At 46.7% G+C, this 18,036-nt stretch overlaps 1 protein-coding gene across 1 annotated transcript in view, besides 2 other annotated features; it reads left to right on the top strand.

Moving 5' to 3' along the window:
* The window catches only part of DPF3 (double PHD fingers 3), a 285,068-nt gene that overhangs the window by 240,390 nt on the left and 26,642 nt on the right, over positions 1–18,036 (top strand). The gene's annotated exons all lie outside the window — the stretch shown is intronic.
* Positions 1,315–2,151: an enhancer, noted in NCBI's record as "H3K4me1 hESC enhancer chr14:73118269-73119105 (GRCh37/hg19 assembly coordinates)". NCBI's record gives its function as "activates a minimal SCP1, AML or CMV promoter by ChIP-STARR-seq in primed H9 embryonic stem cells {active_cell/tissue: H9 hESC(primed)}" and the evidence as "EXISTENCE:reporter gene assay evidence [ECO:0000049][PMID:30033119]".
* Positions 9,488–10,687: an enhancer, noted in NCBI's record as "BRD4-independent group 4 enhancer chr14:73109733-73110932 (GRCh37/hg19 assembly coordinates)". NCBI's record gives its function as "activates an origin of replication core promoter dependent on BRD2, P300/CBP, MED14 and CDK7 cofactors, and independent of BRD4, by STARR-seq in HCT116 cells {active_cell/tissue: HCT116}" and the evidence as "EXISTENCE:reporter gene assay evidence [ECO:0000049][PMID:35650434]".

Here is an 18,036-nt window from a genome sequence, read left to right as displayed (position 1 = left end):
GCTTTGTATCTGACAGGCCAATTTAACTTTGGGATCAAAATCTATGATTGTTCTCCTAGACAAGTTGGAAAAGGGTTTATTTGAAAAAGCACCCTCTATCTAGACTGATAGGTCACTGAATGTGATGCGAGGAAAAGAGAGGAAACCAGGCTGAGTTGCTGGCCGTGAAGCTCCTTGGGGTCTGACCCTCAGCTGATTTACTTCTTGGAGGACCTGAGAAGGGCTGAGCTTGCAAGCCCTGACTGCTGGCTTCCATTTCCATCACTGATTCTCTTCGCTCTTCACCTCACCTTGTCGGTAGGCTCCTCGCTGGCCCCTGAGGCCGAAAGAGGTGCAGCCATGTGTGAGGAGTGTGCACTGGGAGTCAGGGGATCTTAGCCATCCACTCCGTGGAGGCCCGGAGTGGTAGGCCCTCCCTGACATGCTGAATAATCACCAGTGCACTCTCAATGTAATCTTCCTAGCAGCCTTGTCAGAAGTGATTGTCCCACTTAGCAGATGAGTAGACCAGCACTCGGAAGGGTTAAGTGACTCAGGCCAAAGCTGTGCAGAAGTGATAGGGCTAGACTAGACTCCGGGTCTTCCTTCTGATGTTCGCATTAGTGCATGTGCCATTGCATGTTACTCCCAATAATGTTCAGTGACAATTGTCTTGCTTATGCCTGGCTGAAAGTGGCAGAGCATTGGACTAAAGAGGTTATTTGACAGCATGGAATTGAAACCCACAACAGAAGAATATCCATCCTCCTCCTGAGGAAAGGAAAAACAATTGGATGTGAGCCTTCACATTGACCTCTCTTCCCACCCTACCCACCTCTGCATCATCTATACAGCACCTGGGCCTTGTACAGCGTGGTCTCACCCAACCCTTGCAAACTCCCTCTTGTTCATCTGCCTTCAGATTGTAATATTTATGTAGATCTGGTACAGCCCGCATTCTGGGGCCCACTGTTCATTGTGCATTCAGTGCAATGGGGCAATGTTCTGTTTTATGCACCCACCTATGTTACCTACATAGTGGTTTGAAATTTCATGGTGTGCTCTGTGATAAACACCCCAGGTCTGCCTCTGAGGGCCATATTAGGGCTATTGCAGGCAGTCCTCTGAGTTGATTTTGCCCAGCAGAGGTTGAGAAGGTTGGCTCTAAAGGAAGTCTCTGTCTGCTAAATGGCCCAGGGAGAAAGACCTTGCCTCCCTGCTTCTCCTGCCTTAATTTCAGGAAACTCTCTGCAGCTTACCCCGCCTCCCCCCAGCACCATCCTTCTGGTCTCTGCTGTGCTAATCACAGCTCATTCTGGCTGCAAGCCTCATTTGGGGAACGAATGCTCCAGGACTCCCAAAATGGGAGGAGGGAAATTAAGGACAGTTGGCCAAATGAGTCAGCCCACCACCACCAATGAGTCATGGGGACCACCCGCCTCTCCAAGCCTGGGAAGCTTTGTGGGGAAGGGCCCTCTGTCTTGTTCAGGGCTCACTGGGAAAGACTTTCCCCATAGGCTTTACCTTTGGAGCAGGTGGTGCCGGCTTTTATTGCGAGAGAAAGGGAACCAGGCTCACTGAGAGTCAATTCCACGTTACCCCAGGTTCTCTAGCCTCATTTTCCCTTATGTGACAATCCTGTGATGTAGGGGGTGTTCCTATTTTATAGCTGGAGAACTGGGGTTGAGAAAGTTTCAGTAACTTGCCCAGGATCAGGAAAATGCACATGTGCAGTGACAGAGTCGTGCCAGCCCCAGGGAGAACCCATCCTGGCTGTGAGTCCTGTTGCCCATGGGCTGGTCAGTGACGTGGAGTTATGCCAGTGTGCAAATGAGCCTGAGCTTCCCAGCAAAGGCAATCTGGGTGGTTGCAAAGAGCCAGCTGCTCTGGCCAGCCTGCCCCATGCTGGGCAGCTCTGTGGGACCCTACCACGACGTGGCTGGCTGTGAGACTGTCAGGAGGAGAGCAAAAAAGACCCTCAGCCCCTGGCAGGACACGTTTCCTCTCCCCAGATTTCTTTGCCTCTTGTTACCCCATTTTAAGGCTACAGACATCATTTGGTTGTACTACTTCAAAGGAGATTCCACCTCCATCTTTGCAAATAACGAATACAACCTGGTATTAGTCAGATGATCTTGAAAGTTCCCAGATGCCATTTTGGTGAAAATGTGACATTCAAAAAATTACTTTCTTCTTCCATCCCCCTGTCTTCCTGACTTGCCTCCATTGCCCAAACACAGGAGCACTTCTTAGAGAGGCTCCCCTTCTGTGAAAGCCTTTGGAGCTGTCCCTTTTGGAAACTTCTCCCTCCTAAGAGGCTGGGAAAAAGAGAGCTGGGTGCACAGCAGACAGTGCCCAGGAATATTTTGGCCCTGGCTTCTGATGTGCATTCATCCTTCCGGAAGGCAGGGTCAGGGAGGGGTCAGTCGCTGGCTGAGGCCCCAGGGGCTCTTGTTTGCTGTGGTGGCTGAACAGGAAGAAGGAGCAGCCCCGGAGCACGATGCCAAGATTCCAGACCCCCTGCCCGCCCCCATCCTGGGCCACCTCCCTCAGGGGCCAGGGCCATGCTGCAGAAAGACTTAGGAGACCTGGTTACAGTTCTAGCTCTGCGCCACCTCTTCCTGTACCCTGAGCAAGTCACTTTACCTCTTAGAGGCTTGGTTTCCTTCTGTGTCTAAAGAAGGGGTTGGACTTGGTGGTCTCCAAGATTCACTCTGGTTCTGACAGTGTCTGAGTTGATCAAGTGAGGAACCCATGATAGTGCTATCCTCTTTAAGAAAGTTGTTTGCATTTTAACTGGGGATTTTTGGAAGGGTGGTTTTTAAGCCACTGGAGCGACATCAGTGGTGGAAGTTTCAGGCAGTGTTCCCGGGTGTCTGTGGAGGAGAGATGGCGTTTTGTATACCTCCCACCCACACACGCTGATCCTGTCTTGGAGGGAGACGCCTCCTTTGTCCTCTTAGCTCACCCATCCCTGTGACTCCTTCTGACCCCCTAGCTCCATCCACCTTTTACCTTGAAGAGGCAGATGGAGAGGCAGCATGGAATTAGAGGGGGCATCTGTGTGGATCCAGGGTACCTATGGGGTGTGCACCTACAGAGAGCCGCTGGTCACAGCATTGGCTGGACCCACTCCAGATGAGGCTGTGTTGGCCACAGGTGCTGCCCTATCCTCAGCTGTCAGGTGCAAAGACCCTAGAGCTTGTCTAACAGAGAAGGAAACAGACAGCAGAGAGCCATCGCCAAGATCTCCTGGCCCCCGGGGCAGTGCTGGCCTGAGTCTGTGGACTCGTGGCTGAGTGGAGTGTTCTCTCCCAAGCCAGGCTGCTTCCTTCAGCTGATCCCTTTATCCAGTCTCTTTTCTCCCCTTTCATTTCAGGGAGCTGATTAACTTCTTTGTGTTTTCAGCCTTTCTAGATCCTCGCCTTTAACTCTGTCGGGGCGGGGTTTGGAAGTGGCCTTGACCTGGTTTTGCCCTGGGGTCATTCAGGGAGGGCCTTTATTCCCGGATCTTAGATTAGCTACCACGGCTGGGTAGCTAATGAGCAGTCCCCCCTCATCCCCAGGCCATCCTCTGGGTCCTCATTTTTCCCTCAAGGGCAGTGTGGAGTGTGGATGGGGCGGGAGGGTTGTGGAGAGGAAAGCAGGACTTTAGCACAGGTGGGGATGTGTCTATTGCCCCAGCCCTCTGGCAGGGGAGGCCACCGGATGGTCAGAGCCCAGTGCTCTCTGGAGTTTGCTCATCAGCCGCTCGGCCTCCTGTGTCAGGGGAAGGGTCTTTCCCAGTGCTTGTTTCCTGTGGCCGAGCGGTGTAGTGGTTACTTGCATGGATGTTGGTTGGAATAAGATACGTGTTTTCATCCTGTCTCTGCCAGCAGTTGGCTGGGTTGTCTTGAGTAAATTACTTAGCTGTTCTGAGCTTCAGCTTCTTTGTCTATAAAATGGAGACAATAATACCTGAGTCACAGATTGTTTTAAGAGGTAAATAAGGAAGTGTGTTCAAAGTGCCTAGCACATAGGAAGCGCCTCATAAAGTTGTAGCAATAGTACTAATACATTAATCCCCCCCCCCACCCAGGGATGAGTGAGACAATTGAGTTTCTGCATCTTTTAAAGAGTTTAGACAGAATTCTGGTTAAGCTCCTGAATAAGCAAGAACCAAAATCTCTTTTCTGAGTTCTTATTCTTTCACCCACTCCTTCCAGCCCCCTTCTTCTCTGTATCCTGTCTTCTTTGTCTCCTTCCTTCTTCCTCTTCTCACTTTGTTGCTTCTCTCTGTCCTCACTCTTCTGGAACCTGTGATGACCTCTTTTCTTTACTTATTCATGATCCAAAGTGCATCCTGGCAGTTCCTAAAGCTGGTGCCATTCAACTAATTTTCTGCTTGCTGTGAGTTCCACCTCCTGCCTCCATAAAGACTCCACAGCCCCCCAGCTGAAGGCTCCCCTCCTGGCTGGCAGGGTACTCATCACCCCTTGGGATGAGGATTTTCCCACAAAATCCTTTCCTAACTTAGGTCTTTTTAACTTTCTATTCTTCGGGTTCCCAACCACCATGACAAGTGGATATATGAGTCTGGAATTCAGAAAGAGGTTCATGCTGGAGATATAAATTGGGAATAACAAGTGTATAGAAGACATTGAGGGGAAGTGAGTCCACATAAAAGGAAGAACTGGGAGAAAGGGAGAAGAGGAGGATTCAGCAAAGAAGACCAAGAAGGGGCAGCCAGCGAGGTGGGAGGAGAGCTAGGCGAGTGTGTGGAGAGGGGAGAGTGTGGAAAGGAGGGGCATGGAGAGAACTGGCCCTTTCCAGTTGTGCTAAAAGAAGAAGGAGCAGAGAAATTGGACGCTCAACAGAGGGGGATGCTTGGTCAGGAAGGATCTCTTTGGAAGATGGGAGCTTTTATGGCTTGTTTGTATGCTGGCTGAATGGTCTACTAGAGAGAGAGAGAGACATTGACGATGCAAGAGGGAATAACAGCAGGAGCAAAATTCTCAGGGTGAGAGGTAGGGATCCTGGTGCCAGTCGGCTTTGGGTTAGGAGCTGAGACCGTTCATTCCCGGTAATAGGAGGGAGACAAGCGTAGGGATACAGAGGCGGGGAGCTGGGTGGGTGTGGCATGGAGAAGATGCGATCGTTTTATTCTTTTTTTTTTTTTTTTTTCTTTTTTGAGACAGAGTCTCACTCTGTCACCCAGGCTGGAGTGTGCAGTGGCATGATCTCAGCTCACTGCAACCTCTGCCTCCTGGTTTCAAGCAATCCTCCCACCTCAGCCTCCCGAGTAGCTGGGATTACAGGCATGCACAACCACACCTGGCTAATTTTGTATTTTTAGTGGAGATGGGGTTTCACCATGTTGGCCAAGCTGGTCTCGAACTCCTGACCTCAAGTGATCTGCCTGCCTCGACCTCTCAAAATGCTGGGATTAGAGGCGTGAGCCTCCACGCCTGGCGCAATAGTTTTATTCTGATTGTTTATGTATTTTTCAACTAAATAAGGAGAGTGTGAGGATGGGGTATAAGATATGGGAGATTTGAAAAGACAGAGAGAGATGGGAGAATAATTCGACTAGTGAAATACGGGGACAATGACAAGATCTGTGGTCACCACTGAAACCACGACTGCTCAGCACAGTGGTGTATTTTTCTGTGCTTGGTATAGGCCAAGAGTAGGTGAAGAGTTGGTATTAACTGGAAGTTGAGTAAGTAGGAAAAAGGGGTAGAGGGGTAGGCAGACACGTGCAAGGCTGGATGTGGAATCTAAGATAGGTGCATGAGCAGTGACGACGTGAGAGGAGATATGGTGAGAAGTGGTACTGTCCGTGGACTGGAGCTCCTGGCGAGATTAAAGAATTGATGGTGTCTGCCTCACTGCCCTCAATAAATTAGGACCAATCTTGCTACTGCTAGCCACCTCCTCGTGATTTTTGGCTCAGGTATATTCCTCTTAAAATAGTTGAATAGACGCTAAAATAGAAAATGATCAAAAGTAATGCTTGTTCTAGGGCTGTTGAATCCAGTCATCATTTAATAGGTGCAATCTAATTAGGTTGCAAAGATACTCAAAGCTTCATAGTGAAACAATGGAAACCGTGTCTTAAATGTATCCTAAATCTTTCCTACTACTCCAGTTGAATCAGTCCTACAAATACTGGAATGGGCATTTGTGTTTGTTTTTAATCCTACAAAGGAAATAATCTAAATGCTTTGTCTTCTAAAAGATCTTATCTTGGGGAGAGAGTATATGGTGCCTGTCTCAAGTTGCTGAGAGAAGCTAAGACCTCCTGTTTATGCAGGAGACCCACAGGTCTCTGGCAAGGAGAATTGCTATCGGGAAGACAGCTTGTGCCTGGATACAGGCCAGTATGGATTGATGTCCTTTGCATGCAACAATCACAGGCCTGTCTGAAACACTTACGGGTATGTCGACAATGGGCTATGGGGTTGAAAGAAATACAGAATTTCTGGGAATGGGCGTAGAGGTTTAGTGGTGCCAAAACAAAGCAGAAGAGTGGTAAACCTTGGCCTTTTGTTCTTTTAAAGTTTTCCAGCTTAACAAAGCAGTAGTACATAGCCCATGGTCTTGATCCTCATAATAGAAGAAGGATGAGGTGGGCAGGAAAGGCTTTCGAGCCCTCATTGAGCAAGGCTGACTCAGGATGAGAGTGGTGGGAAGACTTGGCTGAGGTTCCACACGCTGCATTATAGAGCAGCTTGCTGATGTGCAAGAGTCCCCAGGAGACGCTGGCAGCAGAGGGTCTCCAAGTGTGTCCAGGGCCATCTGCATCTGAGCCCCCTCAGGGCACTAGCTAAACAGGCAGATTCCTACCCACTCCAGGGCAGGGGAATTAGAAGCTTTGGGGCCTGAGAATCTGCATGTTTAAAACATCTCTCCCGGTAATTCTTCTGAACTCTGAAGTTTGAGAGCAGCCGGGTCGCCAAAATGGCATTGCTGTGGCTTGGAGAAATGAGAAGACCAGTGATGGACATTTCCACTCTGAGGTCCTTGTTCTCCAAAGGAAAAATTCCGCATGGAGGCAAGGAGGGCAAAAGAGATGGGTGCCTGGGATGTGTGTTTGAAGGAAGGGGATGGAGAAAGGTCTTCAGGGAGATTGAGAGGCCTGGGTAAGCAGTAGTCATCAGGGGCTAAGAACTTAAACAAGGGAATCTGATTTATGAGCAGCCTCCATGGGGTCTCATCCACCAGCAAAGTCAGACTTGTTTTACTGGTTCCAGCCTTGGAGTCCTGTCCCTGACAGTGGCCAAAGGGCTTTTATCTGAGGTTGTGGGCATCTTTCTGGATGCACTTCGTAAAGGCAGTGCACTGGCGATGCTGAGGGCACTCATGGGCTTGGAGTCAGGTGGACTCCACTTAGTGGCTGCAGAGCTGTAAGCAGATATCCCATCCTCCCAGGACTTTGGTTTCCTTATCTGCGTTAGAGGGTAGAGAAGGCATCACAGAAGTGAGGTCTTTTGGACTGGACTTGGAGGATGAATAGAAGTTCCCAGGACAGGCAAAAGGTGGAAGTAGTAGTTTATTATTCTTTTATTCATATCTGCATGGACACATTCACTCCTTTGATGAGAGTTTTTTTGGTGGAAAAGAGAGGAGGGAAGTCAGTGTGGAGAGAGTGAAGACTGAGTGGGTGTCCCAGAAAGGGAGTGAGTTTAGAGAAGTGCATCTCAAAATACCCTGTGCATGCGAATCACCTGGGGATCTTGTTAAAACTGCAGTCCCTAGGTCAGATCCGGGGTGAGCATTTCTAACCAGCCCCCAGGGGATGCTCATGCAAGTGGTCGATGGGCCCACTTTTGTGTAGCCGGAGTGTAGACAACCTGTTTGACAGGTTTGGCCATGAATGGGAGTTGAGAGATAGTGAGAGACCTTTGTGTGCAAAAGTGCAAGTCAAAAAGAAGAGTGGTTTTTTGGGGGGTGGGGGGTGTAGGAGCGTTGAGGGTGTGGGATGTGGCAAATACTTTTCTGTGGTATGGTGGGGTTGGGGTCCATGGTGGGAAAAGAAGAGAAATCTTAAAAAGGCAGCTGTGGCCAGACAGCAAAGAGGCTTGCAATGCTAAGAAGCTTACTTCATGCTGCAGGCAATGAAAGACAGAGGAATTACTTAAGGAGGAATGGGTTGATGCCTTCTAGCTGGTGGAGTAGAAAAAATATTAGCCATCATTAAAAAATCCCTTCTTACCAGCTTGGGCAGCATAGGGAGACCCCATCTCTATATAAAATTTAAAAATTAGCCAGGCATGGTGGCACATACCTGTAGTCCCAGCTACTGGGGGAGGCAGGTAGGGGGACGTGGATGCTGAGGAGGAAGGATTGCTTGAGCCAAGGAGGCGGCAGGTGCAGTGAACCAAGATTGCACCACTGCACTCTAGTCTAGCCTGGGTGACAGAGTGAAACCCTATCTCTGAAAAAAAAAAAAAAATCCCTTCTTAGCATCTCTGTTTGCTTTGAAGACAGAAGTATGTGACCGTAGCAATACTTGAGTCCAACCACAAAACATGGCCACCATTTGGTTTGGGTCTTAGCTGTTGTGATAGAGTTTCTGCCTCATGGAAAGGAAAACAGAAGTTATATATCTGACCAGTGACCTGCTTAAGATGTGAGTCCTTAATTCTCACATGAAACTTTTAACCTATTCAGCTTAATAGTGCCTAGCTCAGGGATGGCAAGTTGGTTTCTTCTTGTATGCAAACTCTAGACCAGTGACAGCCACTTGGAGTGCTGTGCTGAAAAGGATCATAAGGTCTTATCCATGCAGATTGGAAGACAATGTTGAATTGATTAGTAATGTCTGCCCTGGGTATGGGATAGAATGGTGGTATACGTGCCACATATTTAGCTATCCCTGAAAGGAGGTCAGATTTCTGGTGATGTATTCCTAATTCTCTCACACCTAATGCTCAGGTGAACCAGAGCCATTTTAGAGATGGTTGATGGTTTCATTTCTCTGATTATGGAATGGAGTTTGTCACTGCTTATCCAGAAGGGCCTCGTGAATCTTTGAACACTTGTGAGGCTCTTGTCTACCCTTACAAAGTACCAGGAAAGGCCCTCCTGCTGCACTACTTTAATATTGATGGGTGTTTTTGTATTGAATAGGCCAAATAGACTATATGTCTTAGGGCATCATTTCTATTAAACCTGAAGACAGATGCTGGTCACTGGAAATAGCCATTGATTTGCTTTCTCTTGTACTATTCCAACTCTCTAATTTCTCCAGAGGAAAAAAAGAAAGCCCATGTAAAAATCATCCCCTCTAGCTTTCTAAGTAAGCAGCGAGATCAATTCTCATTCAGGAATTTGTTGGATAAATATTTGTTTGATTGTCAGGAAAAGTGGATGAATCTTAGATGAAAATTTGGCCGATGGAAACAGATCTATCAGTTGGGTTTAGTGATCACAGATACAGGAGGAGTGCAGACCCGGTGCTGCCTGGATGTTGGGGCTTGGAAGCAAATGCATGCAGAGGTAATACGACGCCAGATGGTGCCGGGTTTTGTTGTACTCCCATGGAGCTCCAAGGATGTTTCTCCCGTATGCAGTGTTGGCTCAGTGCAATTGCTGTTTCTTCTTTTTGAGGGTGTTGAAGGACATCAGGTGTCTCCAGGGCTCAAGACACCTGGGTGAGAGACTTCAGGGAAAGCTGGTTGTCACCATCATCATCCTCATTTTCCATTCTCCTGCCACTGCAACTTGGAAAGTGAATTCATGACTTGGGGAAATCGGGAGGTGGAGAATGAAAGGGGGAAAAGGATTGAAAGGAGCCAGTGAGGCTTCGTTGGGGTCTCCAGTGGGGGTGGGGTTGTGGGTGTCTCGATTGTAGTATAGTCTTGTGATGACAAAAAGGGGATCCTTCCTGTGTGCTCTTTTGTTCCTTTCTTAGACAAGGTGAGTGGGGAACACTTCTGTCCTTTCTTGACTGACAGTGTAATGGAGGTGTGGTGTGAAATTGGCTTTGGATGCCAGCCGTCTTTTGTGCTCCTCTCAGAGGCTTCACAGGGAAAGCTGGTGATGGGCGGTCACTTGGGGGAGCCCTAGGGAGGACCTGGACACCCAGCTGCAAGTGGGAATAGCTGGCCTGGCAAGTCTGAGTGGGACTGTGAGGTGGCGGGGGGCATGACCCCTCCTCACTCCAGCCAGGGGCTGAGGAGCTTCTGTCAGGAGCCGAAGCCCAGTAACACCACCATAGGCTGCTGACCTACTTCCTGCAGCCTCCAGGCCCCTTTGTGTGGGCTGGACTGGCTCACTCCTGAGCAATTCTTCCCCAGGGTTTTCCAGGATTAGTCACTGCCAGATGGTGAGGACTCAGTCCTCTGCCTCATGTAAGCAAGTCTGGCTTCTTGAGGGATTTCGCTAGAGGCATGGAGCATTGAGGCTTAAAGGGGCCTGAGGGGACAGCTAGTTCACCCTTATGTGGTGCAAATGGAGGAAACTGAGGCATGGAGAGAGTCAGTGACATATTTCATCATGCCCTGGCAAACTTCTTATGCATGCAAGGAGAAAATGTTGCTATATTTAGCAGCTTAAACAAGGAGCTGAAATGCCATTGGGTTGCCACTTTTGGGTTGGCCATCCTAGGACATGGTGTAGTGAGAGACCAAAGGATTAGAATGTGAAGACATGGATGTTCCACTAGCCCTGGCTCCACTACTTACTTGCGGGCTGCCTGAGCCATTCTGAGCCTCAACTTCTTCATTTGTAAATCAGGAATGTTCCTATCTGTTCTGCCCACCTCACAGGATCCCCACGGGGAATCAAAACAAAATCAGTCAATAGAAAGGTGCTTCCTTGGAAAAGTTATAAGGATCATTAAAGTATCCAAACATGGCTTTCTTTAGGCCAGAATACTAGCTGCAGGTTCTTCCTCTGCTCATATCAGTTTGGCTTACTTCTAGGAAGCCTCTGACTTTCTAACACTGGGGTTGTGTTCTGGGGAACCTAAAGGGGAGGCTTGTTGGAGGTGAGAGAGGCTCAGGCAGGTGGAAGGAAGGCAGAGCAGGGTGAGAGTGAGACAGGGGCATGGAGGGCAAGGCCTGAGGGGAAGACGGCAGGCTCTTTGGTGCAGTGAGTCTCCTCGGGCCATGCCATGGAAACAAGTTGGACCCAGGAAACCGAAGGCAGATGCACTCACCTTGCTGTAAATGCTGAGGGGTCACACCCATTCATATTGCCACTGAAATTATCTTTGTTCCCACTATTAGCTCTTTTAAAGGAGATTCACTGAAAAAAAATAATAACAGCATGGAAGAGATAAATGATCTAAAATCCCAAACCCTGCTCCTCTCCTTCATTGTCCAGCCCAGTGCTGGGCCTCACTGTGGCTGGGAGCACAATGCAGACACTGCCTAAGCAGGAGTTCTGTCAAATGTCTGGTGTTCAGCCAGGCCCCTTACTGTTCCTCCTTTGCCATTGTATTAGTTAGCTATTGCTGTGTAACAAATTATCCCCCAACTTGGCAGCTTAAAACTGCAAACATTTATTATCTCATAGCTTCTGAGGGTTGGGAACCTGGGAATGGCTTGGGTGGGTGGTGTGTCACAGGGTGTCCCATGAGGCTGCAGTCCAGATGTTGGCCAAGGCTGCAGGCATCTCAAAGCTCCATCAGGGCTGAAGGAGTCACTTCCAAGCTCACTCTCATGTTGCCATTAGGCCTCAGGTCCTCATGAGCTGCTGCGTTGAGAGTCTCAGTTCTTTGCTGGCTGAACAGAGGCTTCCCTCAGCTCCTTGCCATGTGGGCCTTTCCATGAGGCAGCTCACAACACAATAGCTGGCTTCCTCCAGAGTGAGTGATCGGAGACAGACAGAGACATAGAGACAGAGTGCACAGTCAAGACAGAAACCACAGTGCCTTTTATAACTTAGTCTCCAAAACTGCATATTGTCACTCCTCTTTACTGTGTTTGTTAAAAGCAAGTCATTAAACCCAGTCTACATTCAAGAAGAGGGGAATAGCCTCCACTTCTTGAAAAGAGGAGGACCAAGGAATTTGTGGGCATTTTTGCAAAGCACTGCAGCCACCAACATTGCTGCCTGCCACCATTTCTGTCCTCACCTCACCATTCCGTTTGGCTCCCAGTGCTGCTCCTCCTACCTTTGGCCCCAACTTCCCTCCTGGAGAATTTTCATCACTGCCACTTGATCAGACTCTGGGGCTGTGGGAGAAGCCTCCATCAGGACCTGCCCCAGCCTTGTGGGCAAGGCTCAGTCACCTAGGACTGAAGATCTTCGATCCAAGGTCAGAAAGAAAGGCACGGCTTCCAGTGGGATTTGATTCATCGCCGGGGGAAGGACAGAAACTGAGGCTGGCAGGGCCTAGCTTTGGCCCCAGAATCTACATCAGAAAATGATTCCTGCTATGAGTGAATGGAGTTAGGTAAAGACAATGTTCCTGAGATCATTGTGCACGGTGCTTCCAAGCTTGAGAGTGCTGGACAAAGCCTGCGGCAGAAGAAGCATGTTGTGAGGCCATCTGTGTATGAGTTCTTCTCTCTGCGCTGCTGAAGCCATCAGTGATTTGGAGAGGCATGAGGGCCCATTGCTACTAGTGACTGTGTTAGTTCTCATCACCAATGGCTCACCCAGGGCAACACGTTCTCTTTGTTTCTTATCTTACTTCATCTGTCACTTGATGGTGGTGCCACCCTTCCTCTTCCTTGGATGTCATGAGGTGCCTCTCTCCAGATACTTCTCCCTTTCTGACCACATTGTCTCCAGCTTTCTCAGTGGACTCTCTTCTTGGTGCTCTTTAACGCTTTCAACTCCAATGGTTACTCTTCCCTCTACCCCTAACTAGGTCCTTTTTATTTTGTGCTCTGTGGTCTCTTCCTGAATGTCTCACCAACTTCCAAGGCTTCATCTACCACCCAAACCTGATGATTTCTAAATTTATATCTCTAGCCTGGTCTTGTCTCCTGAATGTAGACCCACATTTTCACACCAATTCCTGGGCATCTTCATCTGCACAATTAATGGAATGTGCCCAGTTTGAATCCATTGTTATACTCTGCAAGTCGCATCTCTGCTAACAGTTTTATCATCTACTCTGTGGCCCAACCTAGGAATCTTGATGCCATTTTTTACTTCTGCCTCTTCCTCACACACATATTCAAGCAGGTATCACGTCCTATTGACCAATTCTACCTCTCAAATGTTTCCTCCTTTCATCCCCACAATTATTAGATCTGCCCTGGACTAATGCCCCTCATTACAGTGTAAGCTCCAGAAGGGTAGGATTTTGTCTGTTTTCCATTGCTCAGCATCTATCACAGCACCTGGCACATTGCAAGTGCTCAATACAAACTCATTGAATAGATGGATTTAGTGACTGGTCCCCCTTCCCCAGCCATCTCCAACACATCTGCCTTCTGACCTATCACCAGACTCATCTCTCTAAAGCATGGGTACAAGCACATCAGTTTCTTGCTTAAAAACCTCCGAGGAGTCCCCACTGTTTACAGAATTAAATTCAGATCCTCATGCCTACATAAGAGGCTCTTCATAATCTTTCCTCATACCTTTCTAGCATCATCTCCTGCAATTCCTCTTTTCCCTGCTCTCCTTGAGCTACTCTGCTTTGCCTGAGTGGACCATGCACCTTATATTTCCTGCTGTTGCCTTTCCCTGTAATGCTGTTTCCATTTTTTTTTTTTTTTTTTTTTTTTTTTTTTTTTTACTTAGAAAACTCCTATTTATCCTTTAAGGCCCAGCTTGAAAGCTACCTCCTCTCAGTGGCTTTCCCTGAGCCTCTCCAGCATTATTTATTGCTTCCTTATCTGTAGGAACTTCATTCATTCTCCTATTATGGCACTTATCACATTGTATTATAGTCATTTAAAAGAGTCTCTCTCTCTATATATAATAGTTATCTGTGTAAGAAATTACTCCAAAACTCAACAGCTTAAAACAACAAACACTTATTATCTCATAGTTTCTGTGGGTCAGGAATCTATGTGTGTTTTATCTGGGTGCCTCTGGCCCAAGGCCTCCCTTGGGTTGCAGTCAAGTTGTCAGCTGGGGCTGTGGTCTCATCTGAAGGCTCACTTGGGAGATAATTCAATTCCAAGCCCACACGTGTGGGTTCTGGCAGGATTCAGTTCCCCTTGGGCTGCTGCACTGAGGCCTTCCTTCATATGTTGCCACATGGACCTGTCTGTAGGGCATCTCACAATATAGCAGCTGGCTTCCCTTAGAGCAAGTAAGTGAGAAAGCATAAGAGAGGATTCGGAAGATGAAAGTTGCAGTCTTTTTATAACCTAATATTATAAGTGACATCTCATCACTTCTGCCATATTCTACTAGTTTGAGGTGAGTCATTTAGTGCAGCCCACACTCAAGGGGGGAGAATGACAAAAGAGTATGGTGTCCTTCATTGATAGCCACGCCAGAGACTGCCTAGCACACCTACCAAACTGAGCTCCTCAAGGCAGGAGTCATGCCTCATTCCTCTTTGAAACTTCAGCACCTTGTACAGTTCCTGGCAATGAACAGGTGCTCAGTGAATTTTGCCAAATTAAGTGGAATTATTTTTCTATGAGAATCTGATCACAATTGGGTAGATTGCAAAGTCCACAAGAACACTCAAAATTAGACTAAAATGATTTAAAAATGGCGCACTGGCTCATGCCTGTAATCCCAGCACTTTGGGAGGCCAAGGCAGGCAGATCGCAAGGTTAGGAGATCGAGACCATCCTGGCTAACACGGTGAAACCCCGTCTCTACTAAAAAATACAAAAAATTAGCCAGGCATGGTGGCGGGCGCCTGTAGTCCCAGCTACTCAGGAGGCTGAGGCAGGAGAATGGCGTCAATCCAGGAGGCAGAGCTCGCAGTGAGCCAAGATCACGCCACTGCACTCCAGCATGGACGACAGATCAAGACTCCGTCTCAAAAAAAAAAAAAAATGTAAAACAAAGTGTCTAAGTGTCATGAGTACACTGTCAGTCCTCTACTTCTAGGTACTTCTATGATTGCTTCCCAGGCTCACGTAGAAAAGGATAGGAAAGCATTTTTTCCTTTTGACTTAGCACAACTCTGTGGAATATTTTTTGGAAGAAAAAATTAGAATGCTACTTCAAAGGTCCTCAGGCAACTCAAGAACTTAGACCACTCATGAATTCATCTTCTAATTCATGGATGATCAGCAGTTGGAGGATCATGGGCAATCAAGTGTTGACCAATCACTGCTGTTTTCCACCAGCTATACATCAATTACAGACATTTTGAAATTCTCCTGGATGTACTCAGGACAGTAGGAAGTACAGGGATTACAGGGTTTCCAATCTAAGCAATGGTTTCTTTTTCAGGCTCATTTTCCTAAAGAAAACACAGAGCCTTTAGCCAGGTCCCATGGTTGGATGCTCCTGAGGTCCAGAGAGGCCTGGAATGCACAGCAAATGTCAAGGCTTGGCATCTAAAATTGATGTTGGGCTCTGGGCAATGATTCAGCCGCCTGACCTTCACACACTGTTGTGGGGCAAGAATCACTTTGGGCAGCTGGTTGCCTGCAATCTACAAATCCAGAGAAGCATTTAAAAGGAAAGTCATCCAGAGTTGCTCATACCGATGACCCTCTTCTCTTAGTCACTTCCTGCCTGGCAATATCTGCAGCTGTCACACAGCAGCTCAACCTAGCTCATCCCAGATCTAATATTCCTCATCGATGGAACCTTACCCAAGGCCTCTGTCTACCTTCAGTTTATGACAGCTCATCTGTATAGGCCTAACTTATTGCATGGCGGTGGGTGGTATGGTTGATGAAAAGTCCTTTAGATTTCTAGATTTCTTTTGCTTTCTGTCTTGGCCATCTTTTGTTGTGTCGACATTGGATCGGACTGGGCTGGTCAATATGGGAAAGTTGACATGAATTCTAGAAGGACTTACTGGCTATTTTAATTTCTTTCTTAGTTTTTTTCTTTTTTAACTTTCAGTTTTAGCTGGCAAACTTTAGAAGGCTTGTTTATCCCACCAAGCAGATGGGCAATTGGGGATCAGTAGTATCTTTAAAAATACCATTTTTGGGTGGCATAGACAAAGCTACAGCTTCATGGATAGCAGATTCCAATGCTTTAACTTAATATATTGAAAAACTAATGCTAGAGAAGTCAATTGACTTGTCCAAAGGACTCAGGTGCTGTAATATATCTCAAAGTGTGGCAGTTGTAAATTGAGGGCAGGGGTTTGGATTTTCTCACTGCTATATCCCCAGTACCTGGAAGAGTGCCTGCCATATTTATATATTCAACAAATACTGTCAAAGGAATGAATAAATGAATAAATTATTTTTGATCCTCAGCTGCAGTGACTAATTAGGGGCTTTGGGGTCATTACTATGACTCTCAACGTATTCCTAGTGCTGTGCATTGGCCCCAAGTTGAGTCGAGTAAATTGTATAAATCCAGGTCAAGGCTTCCCTATCCCATTATTTCACTTTAAGAAGACCAACCATGATGTATGCCCTCAGGCTTATAGACAGGTGTAGATCCACTTCCTAGAGACTCCACCTTGGACCACACCTGACCACGAAAACTTGGGGAATTTCTAGGACCATTTGAGAATGGCGCCATGAGCCCTTGGCTGTTTAGCCTATTAAAAGTGCCCGTAATACTCTTGCATGAATGTGCTTTGTATGGTTATTTATAAGAATGACTGGTGCAATAGCCCCTGGGGCTTGCATCCCATGTGTTTCCTGGGTGCCACAGACCTTGACAACTGGAGGAGAGGATAAACAAACCTCTAAGAGGAGTGGAGCTGGATGCACAGGAAGGTGTTTTGCCCAAGAAAGGGCAGCCACACAGCTCACGCTATCATTTATTTTTAATGCATTTTTGTTTGTTTGGTATTTGTCCTTTCCATTCTCTTTCTCTTCTTTGTCCTCTTTGAAGTGCAATAAAAATGGTGAGAGAAAAAGGGAGCCATTCAGATGCCTCTGGAGTGCCATTGTGATCATCGATTTGCAGGTGTCTTCAGCATTAGAAGTAACATCTGGGGGCAGATAGAGGTGAACCTGCAGACCTTTGCAGAAGGTTTACAAAGCAGGGCTTGAGAAATAATTATGTGAAGCAGCAGTGCCCAGTTATCATACTTGCCATAGTATATACATAAAGGAGTTGAACTTTTGATTGCTCAGAATTGGTCCATCCCTTTCCCCTTTACAGATTCAATATAATGACTGAGCCTCCTTCTCTCCACCTGCCAAGCTGGGTCTCAAAGTGGAGGAGCATGAAGAGAGGGGGAGGGAATGGGGCAGAGAGAGAGACAGAAGAGGGAGAGAAGAGAAAGAGAGAAGAGAGGAGTGAGAGAATGAAAATGAATGGATCTGATTGAATGAGATGGCTTCCCAAAGAGAACTAGTAATAATTTTTCTTCTCAAATTACCCTGTAGCATGATGATTCAGATATGACTATACTTTGCATAAATGCTTTAGCTAAAACTTCATATATACATTTGCAATTTGTAAATACCAGGAATTTTATATGTGTATGAGAATATAGAGAACTATTTGAAATTTGAGCCAAATTATTTTCTAATGAATGCCCATGGAGACTTGTTTTTGGCGCTATTTTGGGTTGGAATTGATTCTATGTATTTTATGTAATACAATTTCTGTAAACCAAGCATCAGAATAAGGAGCACAATTTGAGTTTTGCATTTACTTGCCTGAGAACCATGGATATTTAAGTTCTCTTTGCCTGAGAAATTAGCTTTTAAGAGATCAACATTGATAAATAAGGTAATAAAGTATAATTAGATGTTTATAATTTCACAATGAATAAATAATAGACCATGCTGATTCCAAAGTTATTTATATTTGTTTTATTTATGTTTTCAATGCATACCTAGGAAGATAATTTTTTTTCCTGGAGCCCTAATTCAATCAGTGATGTGGCTTAGCCTAGTCCAAATTAAATACCGGTGATAATAAAATAAAAACTCTTTTAATAAGGATCATAATGTAAGAGACACATGTCATAGCAGTTTGTGTATTTCTTTTGCCCAGGGTTTGTTGAAAATGAACTGTGTTTCTCTCAATGTACTGAATATCTAT

The sequence above is a fragment of the Homo sapiens genome, chromosome 14 (assembly GCF_000001405.40).
Source record: "Homo sapiens chromosome 14, GRCh38.p14 Primary Assembly".
Classification (NCBI taxonomy): Eukaryota; Metazoa; Chordata; class Mammalia; order Primates; family Hominidae; genus Homo; species Homo sapiens.
This window is presented reverse-complemented; position numbering and strand designations above follow the sequence as displayed.